Here is an 11,320-nt window from a genome sequence, read left to right as displayed (position 1 = left end):
CACCATCGCATAACTCTGCTCGGCATCCAGGTACTTTTTATACTCATGGTTGAGTTTATCAAAAACAGTGGCTATCACGGGCAGCGATGCTCTGTCTGACTCACTTAACACTGGAAAGGCACAATGTTCACACACGGATCAAACCAACTTCATGTCAGCTTCAGAATTTCCACACGTTGCTATGATAAAAACTAATCTCAAAAGGTTACCAATGCAAAAGTACCTTTAAAGGACACTCTACTTTAAAGACCTGACAGCTAGATGTCATTCGCAACCCCTTTCTGGTTACGGTTAAAAAAAAAAAAAAAAAAAAAAGCTATAGCAGGCCAGGCTCAGTGGCACATGCCTATAATCCCAGCACTTTGGGTAGGCCGAGGCAGAAGGATCACTTAACGCTGGGAGTTTGAGACCAGCCTGGGCAACAAGGCAAGACCCCATCTATACCAAAACAAAAACAAACACCAACAGCACATATTGGTAGGGGATTATTATTATTATTTTTTTTTGGATACAGGGTCTTGCTCTGTCGCCCAGGCTGGAGGTACACTGACACAAACGGCTCGCTGCAGCCTCGTCCTCCCGGGCTCAAGGAATCCTCCCTCGGCAGCCTCTGGAGTAGCTGGGGCCACAGGTGTATACCACCAAACTCAGCTAATTTTTTTTTTTTTTTTTTTTTTTTTTGTAGAGACAGGGTTTTGCCATGTTGTCGTCCAGGCTGGTCTCGAACTCCTAGGCTCAGGCAATCCTCCTGCTTCAGCCTCCCAGAGTGCTGGGATTATAAGCATGAGCCACCATGCCTGGCCTCAGTAGGGGATTCTTAAAGAAGACACATATGCAGTGAGTGGCTTGGATTTTGAAAGAGGTGTGTGTGAAGGCCAGGGGTGGTGGCCCACTCCCCTCCTGTGTGCCCACTTTCATTCAGAACCATCCCATTTATTGTTCTTTTCTACCAGTATCTCTACAAATCATCTTTCCATTTAGCAGCCTTTCCTAGGGGGTCACATAGCCACCCCTCACATAAAGAATGAGGCTGTGGGTCACAGACAAGACACAACAATGTAGCCCACATCCCGATAAAAAGTGTTGGGCAGCACAGGCCTCACACTGGAATCAGAGCAAGGGGGAAGGATTCAACTTACTCTGTGAACAGACAGACAGGATGACCATCTTGCATTCCTTTCTCTGGAGGAGAAAGTCCATGAGTCTTCCTTTGTCTGGTAAGAGATTTACTATGGGCTCAAGTTTCACTTGGAGGTTCCAGAGGTAACCTGGATTTTAAGAGGCAGCAAATAAAACAGTATGATGCAAACCGTAACAAAAGCCCAAAAGTGGTTCCCCTAAACATCTGCGGGGCGGGTGGCAGGTGGTGATAAAAAGCCGCAAAGTACAGTCAGTGTAGCTTTTCCTTCCTAACCAAAGCAGAGCTGAGCCATTCAGGAGCAATTCAGGAGCGTGTCTACCACAGGAGGATGACAGCCCAACCACCGCACACCTGGCTGACTCTTTTCCAAGTAACCTCTGCATTCAGGGGCACATCAAAGGTGTAGCTCCTAGTCCTTCATTCCAAACGGGGACTTCCCTAGACCTAGCCCCTCTTTTAACGTTTAAAATAGAAAAAGATGTCAACACGTGGCATCAACTTCAGTCCTGTGCTTTGGTTTCTCCTACAACAGCTCATTAGTTTAAAAGGTAACTCCAGAGGCTCTCAATGGAACATCATAACTCATCCATTCATCGACCCATAAATGTACTGATCACCCACACTGCCAGCATCTGGTGTGGCCTTTCCCAATTGGGATGCCACAGGAGAATGAAGTGCCACATAAAAAATCATCTGGGTGACCCCCTTTTCAGTTGGCCCAAGGCAGGTACAGAGCAGCTGTACAGGAAAACACCAGCGAGATGCACAGGAGAGAAATGACTTCATTACATACATACAGTGGATGTCACATGAGGCTATGGGTTACAGACAAGGCACAACAATGCATTACATACAGTGGATGCCTACAGCATCAGGGCTAATTCTCTCCTCAAGAGTTCTTAGGAATTCCAGAGGAAAGGCAGGAAAATACACAGAGGATTAAAGAGTAACATAGGAGATTCTCTAATAACCAGCCTGGCGAGGTATTAGAGACACAGGGGCAACATGGCAAGACCCTGTCTCTACAAAAAAAAAATTATAGGCCGGCTGTGGTGGCTCACACCTGTAATCCCAGCACTTTGGGAGGCTGAGGTGGGCAGATCACGAGGTCAGGAGATCGAGACCATCCTGGCCAACATGGTGAAACCCCGTATCTACTAAAAATACAAAAATTAGCTGGGTGTGGTGGCGCATGCCTGTAATCCCAGCTACTGGGGAGGCTGAGGCAGGAGAATCGCTTAAACCCAGGAGTTGGAGGTTGCAGTGAGCCGAGATGGCACCACTGCACTCCAGCCTGGTGACAAAGCGAGATTCCGTCTCAAAATAATTATTATTATTATTATAATAAATTAACTGGGCGTGGTGATGTGCGCCTGTAGGCCCAGCTACTTGGGAGGCTGAAGCAGGAGGATCGCCTGAGCCCAGGAGCTCAAGGCTGCAGTAAGCTGAGATAGCACTACTGCACTCCAGGCTGGGTGACGGAGCAAGACCCTGCCTTAAAAAAATAAGATTTCTTTAGGCCGGGCACAGTGGCTCATGCCTGTAATCCCAGCACTTTGGGAGGCCGAGGCAGGCGGATCACCTGAGGTTGGGAGTTTGAGACCAGCCTGACCAACATGGAAAAACCTCGTCTCTACTAAAAATACAAAATTAGCTGGGCGTGGTGGCACATGCCTGTAATCCCAGCTATTCAGGAGGCTGAGGCAGGAGAATCGCTTGAACCCGGGAGGCGGAGGTTGCAGTGAGCCAAGATCACGCCATTGCACTCCAGCCTGGGCAACGAGCAAAACTCCGTCTCAAAAAAAAAAAAAAAAAAAAAAAAGATTTCTCTAATAAAGAGATTACCCAGGAAGAGACAATTAACAGACTGAGGAGGCTTCCTCAGCAAGGCCAGAAAGAGGAGCACACCTCCCGGGCTCATGCAGAACAGAAAAGGGCACGGACACCGGTGGGAAGGTCGATGGGAGAAATGAGGGAGACACCCTGGGGTGGAGTCCGGCTTTCCATCCACCCTGGGGTGGAGTCTGGCTTTTCCAGAATGGGCTTAAGCAGGAGAATGGCATTCTTAGTTGTTGCTTTAATTATTAAAAGTAGTATATGTTCTTGATAAAATGCACATATAGTAAAAAACGTATAAAGTGAAAAAAAAAAATCCCATTCCCACGCTTGAAAGGAGGGGTCATTTCTAAGAGATTCACCTTGAAAACGTCCCTGGCTACAACTGGGATCCAAAGTCAACAAGCACCATGTTGTAACACGACAACTGTCCCCGCTGACCTACCTTGGCTTGCGCTGATAATGATGTCAGGTTGAAAGACAATCCAAGATGAAGAATCCACATGTTATAGGAAATTCTAAACCAGGAAAAGATGAAAACAAAAAGCAAACCCAGTTTCCGCTAGCACTCGCCCCTGCCCACCATGTACTGAGTCCACGCTAAACGCGAGGCCCCTGGACAGTCAGGGAAGCTGCCTGCGGGGTGGCTCTCGGAGTGTTATTCACAGCTGCCCGGAGGAGGACTTCAGGACCACTCTCTGAGGGTGACCACTTGCCCTGTTGTGCACGGTGCCACACCTTAGTAAAGGATACAGAGTTTACATGGAACAGGAGACTGGCTGGTCACGGCAGCAGGACCTACAAATTGAGAAAACATAAGTGCAACGATGCAGTCAGAAAATGCTGCAAATGCTGGTACTTATGACACAAAAGTCAATACTTTTTAATGTCATTACGAAATGTTTATTCAATTGTAGTCAAGGAAGAAATGAACTGTTCCGTCTCACTGAAAGCACGTACGGGGAGGAAGGGGGAAGGAGCTAACAATCCAGGAAAATCTCACCAAGAAAAAGAAAGCATGTCAAGGCTTCAATCACTGTGGTTTGGGTTATTTTTAATAACCAAAGATGACTCATGATCGTTTACATATGCACGTTAAGGAACTGAGAAATTTACTTGAAGGATTCAAAATCAAATACCCAGATCATCCACGGAGAATGTTTCAAATAAATGTGGCTTGTAGCTTAATTATCTTTTTTTTTCTTTAAGAGAGGGTGTTGCTCTGCTGTCCAGGCTTGAGTGCAGTAGTTGATCATAGCCCACTATAACCACGAACTCCTTGGCTCAAGTGGTCCTCCTGCCTCAGCCTTCAGAGTAGCTAGGACTACAGGCATGTGACCATGCCCTAACTTTTTTTCTTTTTTTTTTTTTTTTTTTTTTTTTTGTGAAGACAAGGTCTATGTTACCTAGGCTGGTCTCCAACTCCTGGGCTTAAGTGATCTGCCCACCTCAGCCTCCCAACATGCTGCGATTACAGGCATGAGCCACTGTGCCCAGCCACTTAATTATCTAAATAATTAGTTCGATTATCCATTGCATAGAGTAGGTCCAAGCACAGTGAGCTCGTCTGGGAAGCAGACCCCCAAAACCTCACATGACAGGGACCGTTAACAACCAGTTATACTGCTCATGAGCCATGCAGGCAGCCCTACAAGCTAACCATGACTCCTGGTTCTGTTCCAATTACCCAGGTACAATCAGAAGGCAGGTTTCAATCAGCTGGTCAGAGAAAGGGTCATTGTGAACAGACCACCCAAAGGTAGGAAAGAGCCCAGGCAGACAAGCTTTGGCGAAGAGCACTCGCGCTTTGGACCTAAGTGTCAAGGTCTGCGCCGAGTGCACAGCCCTCACCTTTGGGTGGCTGACCTACACACTGTCAGGTGAGAGCTTTCATTTTTAAGGCCCCCCAGATGATCCTAATATGTAGTCAGATTGAGACCCACTGTTCTAACAGGCCCAAAACAAAAAGAAAAAGGGTGGCTGACTCTTCCCAAAAGTGCTGGTTATATCTTTCTCAACAGGCCCATTCAATTCCTGAGCACGCCCACCCAGTGGCAGCACAGTGGGCAAGACACACGGATGCATCAAGCCGCCAGGGCTCACAGCCCAGCAGGAAACAAAAGGAGAGTCACTAACCTCTGAAAATGCTTTGCAGCCCACACTACCTAGATCCCCAGACCCTCAGTGGATTCCTGATTTCCTCCTATTGATCTCTGCACGGGCTGTTACTGTGACCAGGCCTCGCATCTGTTCCCTTATGACCAGATGGTTAGAACCTGATGCCTCCTAACTGGTCCTGTACCACCGGAACAGAGCTGAAGGTTCTAAGCCAGGGGTGTCCAATGTTTTGGCTTCCCTGGGCCTTAAGAGGAAGAAGAAGAATGGTCTTGGGCCACACATAAAATACACTAACACTAACAATAGCTGATGAGCTTAAAAAATATCATTAAAAAAATCTCATAATGTTTTAAGAAAGTTTAAGAATTTGTGTTGGGCTGCATTCAAAGCTGTCCTGGGCCACATGTGGCCCACAGACCGTGGGTTGGACAGGCTTGTTCTAAATGTTTAGTTTTTTTCCCCCAATTCACCAGCAGTTACCTTCATGCCAAGTGGGCAGCAGACACAAGACAATCACTTGGCAAAATCTATTCTTTCAATACTAACATTATTTACAAAGGAAAAGGAAGAAGCTTGAAAGAACACAGAAAGCCAAAAGACCTAATTGAACGTCTGTTAAGAACCAGCTCCTTCCTCCAACTGTGCCAGAAAGTAACTAAGCTTTTGGCTGGTCCAGCAAGACAGGGCAGTCAGGCTGACAATGGTGCTCTTGCTGAACTTTCAGCCAGAGTGCGATTCTGAACTCCCGGGTGAACGGTACAAGGAAATCCTGACTGCAGGCTGGGTCAACCCGCCCAATGCCATCGGACAAAGAATAAAACATTACTACTAGGGTTCCAAATGTGAGCCATCTGACTACGTCTTGCACACTGAAACCTCAGACTAGCCAATTCTGCACTCCAATCTCCTTCAAAAGAGAGCCGGGAGAGACTGCTGCGAGGGACAGGCACAGAAGAAAGACCCTGTGAGAACACAGTGAGAAGGTGGCCATCTGCAAAGAGGCCTGCCAGGAGGGAGGCCTCAGAAGAAAGCAAACCTGCAGACATCTTGATCTTGAACTTCTAGCCTCCAGAACTGTGAGAAAATAAAGTTCTGTTTAAGGAAAAAAAAAAAAGAGAGAGAGTGTGTGTTGAATATTCTTTCAGTTCTATCTTAAAATCAATTACACTGGAAAAAGGCAAAACGAAGCAAATAAATGACTTCTTTCCCTTTTCCTGAATTCCTGACCTCCACTCTTCTGACTTCCCAACCCCACCTCTCCAGACAGAAGGAGGACTGATTTGGGTAAGCCTAAGAGCCACAGCCGAAGCACTTACTGTGACTGTCAGTCCCAAAGAATGCAATATTCATCATCACTGTCACACGGAATGTGAGAAAGAGAAAAGTGATCCCAGGTTACAGTAACAAACCTACAGCCAAAGTTAATTTCAGCGTTACAGAGCTAAGGCAAACAGAAAACGTTACGGGTGTATTCAATATTAAAACATATTTCACCATCAACGGCTAATCAAAACTATCCATTCTAAAGCTCAGGGAAGATAAATTATTCTATTTCCTCCCAAGGGAGATTCATCTATCTTAGAAAATGCTTTTTTCACAACATAATTTTAGCTTATAGGATCAGTAGTAGTTGCATTTTTTAAAAAACTAGAACAGGCTGGGCATGGTGGCTCACACTTGTAATCCTAGCACTTTGGGAGAGCGAGGCAGGCGGATCACCTGAGGTCAGGAGTTCAAGACCAGTCTGGCCAACATGGTGAAACCCCATCTCTACCAAAAATATAAAAATTTGGGCCAGGCGTGGTGGCTCATGCCTGTAATCCCACCACTTTGAGAGGCCAAGGTGGGCAGATCACTTGAGGCCAGAAGTTCAAGACCAGCCTGGCCAACATGGTGAAACCCCATCTCTACTAAAAATACAAAAAAATTAGCTGGGCGTGGTGGTGCACGCCTGTAATCCCAGCTACTTGGGAGGCTGAGGCAGGAGAATCACTTGAACCTTATCTCCTCTCACAAGTATTTAAGCGATTGAATACTTGGTTCAATTGCTTGAATACCTCACAAGCTTGAACCTTGTGACAGACAGGTGGAGGTTGCAGTGAGCCGAGATCATGCCACTGCACTCCAGCCTGGGCAACAAAGTGAGGCTCTGTCAAAAAAATAAATTTAAAAAAATATAAAAATTAGCTGGGCACGGTGGCACACACCTGTAATCCCCACTACTTGGGAGGCTGAGGCAGGATAATCACTTGAACCCAGGAGGTGGAGACTGTAGTGAGCCAAGATCACGACACTACCTACCAGCCTGGGTGACTCAGTGAGACTGTCTCAAAACAACAACAAAACTGGAACAAATGGCCCCTGGCAAAATCAGACAGATCTGGGAATCTCTGTTTATTCCTCACTCCACTTTTAACGTGACTCCCAAAGATCATGGTGAGAACACAGCCACATGGTGAAAGGGCAGCACAGACTCCTCTACAGAACCCGTGTTACCTGTGATGGGGATCTGATAGGGCTGGATCGATCGAGCGGGAAGCACGGGGTGGTGGAAGGTAACGGAGCCGTCAAACTCTCCCCGTAACTTGATATCGAATATTACCGATGTCTGGGGGGGAAAAAGACAAGACTGAGGCCAAAATCAATCATGGTTTGCCCAGTTGCTTTCATTCCATCCCATCTTGCTGTTTAAATCAGTTTAAAAGCCTGTGTTTGCATTTCCTCCCTACAGGCTAGCTCTTACTTGAGAAGGAATTTGTCATTAACATCACAACTCTCTTTTAATATTTTTATCTCCTCTCACAAGTATTTCCTGCATTTATGACATGCTTCCTTTGATGAGCTCACTCAAAGTGACCTAAGCAGATCTCTGTCATTTCAACTGGAAACATCCTCACGTGTCACAGAGTTAGCGTCACCACCCTCTGGGAGGGTAGAGGAGGTAAGCAGCTTCTTTATATCAGAGGCCCAGCCCACAGGACCCATTCTAGTTGTCCTGGTCCACACGGCCTCAAAACCATTATCCCCCAGCACTGTCATCCATGCTCACAATTGCAACAGAGAGTTCAAGTACTCGTGGAATGGAGCGGATTCCCACCTTCTTCCAAGGTCAAATCTCAAGCGTTAGTTTCTGAAATAGTTTTGAATTATCTTTAATCAACTGACACAATCACTTTTTTCTAAACTACTTGAGACTACCAAACCCATTTCCATCTGGAAGACCAAAACTCTTAGCATAAAAATGCACTTTCTAGTCTTATTCAGACATTTTGCCAATTTTTTTTTTTTTTCGGAGACAGGATCTTGCTCCATCACCCAGGCTGGAGTGCAGTGGCGCGATCTCCACTCACTGAAGCCCCGACCTCCTGGGCTCAAGCCATCCTCCAGCCTTAGCCCCACAAGTAGCTGGGACTATAGGCGTGCACTACCACGCCCGGCTAATTTTTGTATTTTTTATATAGGTGGGGTTTTGCCATGCTGCTCAGGCTGGTCTCGAACTCCTGGGCTCAAGCAATCTGTCCGCCTTGGCCTCCCAAAGTGCTGGGATTACAGGCGTGATCCACCGTGCCCAGCCACCAATTTTCACAAGGCTTTTAAGCAACCTTAACTTTGGTAGAAACGCAGACAGCTTGTACCTCTGTATCCTGATGATGCACGACTACCAGGTTGTCCACCACGTTCAGGGCAAACTTTCCCGTCCTATTTAACTTCAATATGTGCATCTTTTTACAGGCACCTTCTCTGTAGGATAGAAAGCAAAAAACAGATCAACAAGCTGCAGTTCACATTTTAAAATCAGAGAGAGAGGGAAAACAAAGCATGAAATCTACCGTGGTAGATGATAGAGGACCACCTCCGCTCCTGTGCTGTTGGAGGTCCGAGAATGATGCCTCAAGAAGAGAACATACAGCTGCCCGTATCTAATTAGGGAACAAACAGACATAAATCACATCTGGCCATTCAAAATTCCTTTGTTCTAAATGGCATCACGGTTAAGTAAATTATAAGATATTCACTTAATGGAGTATTTTGCTGCCAACAAGTGTTTACAAAGAAACATGCAGTTACTCAAAGCCTATTATAAAGTTAAGTGGAAAAGAGAACACACACTAAACACAGCTTGATCATAATATTTTAAAAGAAAACCCCAAACCTAAGCATAGAGTCTAAAATGATTGGAAAGAAACACATGTAATAGTTATACTTGAGTGATATGCTAAGTTCATTTTCTTCTCTGTTTTCCAAGTTTTGTATAATGAATGTATATTCCTTAATAACAGGAAAATATAATCACTATTTTTTTTTTTCATTTTTCAGAGACAGGGTCTCCCTCTGTCACCCAGGCTGGAATGCAGTGGTGCAACCACAGCTCACTGCAACCTCCACCTCCTAGGCTTTGGCGATCTTCCCTCACCTCAGCCTCCCCAGTAGCTAGGACTACATGCACGTGCCACCGTGCCTGGCTAATTTTTAAATTTTTTTGTAGAAACAGGGTCTCACTATGTTGCCCGGGCTGGTCTTGAACTCCTGGCCTCAAGGCGATCCCCCTGCCTTGGCCTCCCCAGTCACTGGTATTACAGGTGTGTGCCACCATGCTCAGCCTTTTCTATTTAAGTGCCATCTAATAAATGTTGCTGTGAACAGTTCCTGAATGCATATTCTAGTCCAGTGGTAAACTCTGTGCTGGGCCTGCCCAGGGACAAGGAGGAGACCAAGGTGGGAGGGAACAGGTCCCCACCTCCACTTCAGCCAGGACTGCTCTCACTTTATCTATTGTCTAAACAGGAATGCTGGCTGGGCACGGCGGCTCATGCCTATAAACCCAGCACTTTGGGAGGATGAGGCGGGAGGATCACCCGAGCCCAGGAGTTCAAGACCAGCCTGGGCAACATGGTGAAACTCCATCTCTTCAGAAAATACAAAAATTATCCAGATGTGGTGGCATGCGCCTGTAGTCCCAGCTACTTGGGAGACTGTGGCAGGAAAATCACTTGAACCTAGAAGGCGGAGGTTGTGGTGAGCTGAGATTGTAACACTGCACTCCAGCCTGGGCAACAGAGCGACACTCTCCAAAAAAAATTTAAAAATAAACAGGAATGCCACAGAAGAGTACGTTTAAAAAAAAAGGAAGAAGAAATGAAAGAACATTATACTAACTACCATAAAGTTTGAAAGTTTGGGCCACTGTTTTAGGCCACAGAAGAATCAGAAGTAACTTAGAAGCAAAATTTTGACTATTGTCGAATCAGATACAGGCATACAGGGGTTCTTTTTTATTAGTCTCTATTGTGTGTTTAAAATTTTCATTACAAATTTAAAAACTGAGATATCCACTTTTTCAAATGAAAATATACCTCCGTACTGCCAGGCGTGGTGGCTCACGCCTGTAATCCCAACACTTTGGGAGGCTGAGGAGGGCAGATCAAGAGGTCAAGAGACCGAGACCACCCTGGCCAACATGGTGAAACCCTGTCTCTACTAAAAATACAAAAATTAGTTGGGCATGGTGGCACGCACCTGTAGTCCCAGCTACTCGGGAGGCTGAGGCAGGAGAATCGCTTGAACCTGGGAGGCGGAGGTTGCAGTGAGCCAAGATCGTGCCACTGTACTCCAGCCTGGCAACAGAGCAAGACTCCATCACAAAAACAAACAAAAAAAAAAAGTAAAAGAAAATATACCTCTATATATACGTAATTTAGTTCCATGTCTGTTACATAAAATCTTAATCTATTTTCTTATTTAGAACAATTATTATTTAACTGAGCTTTTAAAAAAAATAAACTTGGCCAGGCACAGTGGCTCATGCCTGTAATCCCAGCACTTTGGGAAGCCAAGGCAGGTGGATCACTTGAGGTCAGGAGTTCGAGACCAGCCTGGCCAACATGGTGAAGCCCTGTCTCTACCAAAAATACAAAGACTAGCCGGGCGAGGTGACGCACACTTGTAATCCCAGCTACTTGGGAGGCTGAAGCAGAAGAATCGTTTGAGCCTGGGAGGTGGAGGCTGCAGTGAGCCGACACTGCACCACTGCACTCCAGCCTAGGGGACAGAACAAGACTCTGTCTCGAAAAAAAAAAAAAAAGAAGAAGAAATTCTAAAACAAAGATACTAAGAAATAAATTGGTTCAATGTTCTTGTTTTATCAGGCTAGAAAGGTAAAGGAATTCCTTAGCATCACAAAGCTGATAAAAATCAAAAAGGAATGCCAAAAACACTGCAGGTTTT

At 45.8% G+C, this 11,320-nt stretch overlaps 2 protein-coding genes across 12 annotated transcripts in view, besides 1 other annotated feature; one reads left to right on the top strand and one right to left on the bottom strand.

Annotated features, from left to right (window-relative positions):
- RMC1 (regulator of MON1-CCZ1) overlaps positions 1–11,320 on the bottom strand; it is a 28,353-nt gene that overhangs the window by 3,918 nt on the left and 13,115 nt on the right. For 7 of the 8 annotated variants that reach the window (NM_001276342.1, NM_001318709.1, NM_001318708.1 and 4 more), the window contains 7 exons: positions 8,926–9,015; positions 8,731–8,836; positions 7,592–7,703; positions 3,731–3,775; positions 3,423–3,476; positions 1,140–1,268; positions 4–110 (listed from right to left, as the gene is read on the bottom strand). In NM_001276342.1, the coding sequence (NP_001263271.1) occupies positions 4–110; positions 1,140–1,268; positions 3,423–3,476; positions 3,731–3,775; positions 7,592–7,703; positions 8,731–8,836; positions 8,926–9,015 (643 nt within the window). The remainder of the gene's footprint in view (positions 1–3; positions 111–1,139; positions 1,269–3,422; positions 3,477–3,730; positions 3,776–7,591; positions 7,704–8,730; positions 8,837–8,925; positions 9,016–11,320) is intronic. The other variant, XM_047437488.1, reaches the window with a different exon arrangement.
- NPC1 (NPC intracellular cholesterol transporter 1) overlaps positions 1–11,320 on the top strand; it is an 80,323-nt gene that overhangs the window by 58,602 nt on the left and 10,401 nt on the right. For 2 of the 4 annotated variants that reach the window (XM_017025787.2, XM_006722479.4), the window contains exon 25: positions 4,999–6,314. The exons of the other annotated variants lie outside the window; for them this stretch is intronic. In XM_017025787.2, the coding sequence (XP_016881276.1) occupies positions 4,999–5,015 (17 nt within the window). In that variant the 3' untranslated portion in view covers positions 5,016–6,314. Of the gene's footprint in view, positions 1–4,998; positions 6,315–11,320 lie in introns of those variants that run through there. 4 annotated transcript variants of the gene reach the window in all.
- Positions 7,827–9,026: an enhancer, noted in NCBI's record as "CDK7 strongly-dependent group 2 enhancer chr18:21098843-21100042 (GRCh37/hg19 assembly coordinates)". NCBI's record gives its function as "activates an origin of replication core promoter dependent on BRD2, BRD4, P300/CBP, MED14 and CDK7 cofactors, with strong dependence on CDK7, by STARR-seq in HCT116 cells {active_cell/tissue: HCT116}" and the evidence as "EXISTENCE:reporter gene assay evidence [ECO:0000049][PMID:35650434]".

The sequence above is a fragment of the Homo sapiens genome, chromosome 18 (genome assembly GCF_000001405.40).
Source record: "Homo sapiens chromosome 18, GRCh38.p14 Primary Assembly".
NCBI classification, from domain to species: domain Eukaryota; kingdom Metazoa; phylum Chordata; class Mammalia; order Primates; family Hominidae; genus Homo; species Homo sapiens.
The sequence above is the reverse complement of the archived record's forward strand: the minus strand, read 5'-3'. Positions and strand labels throughout refer to the sequence as shown.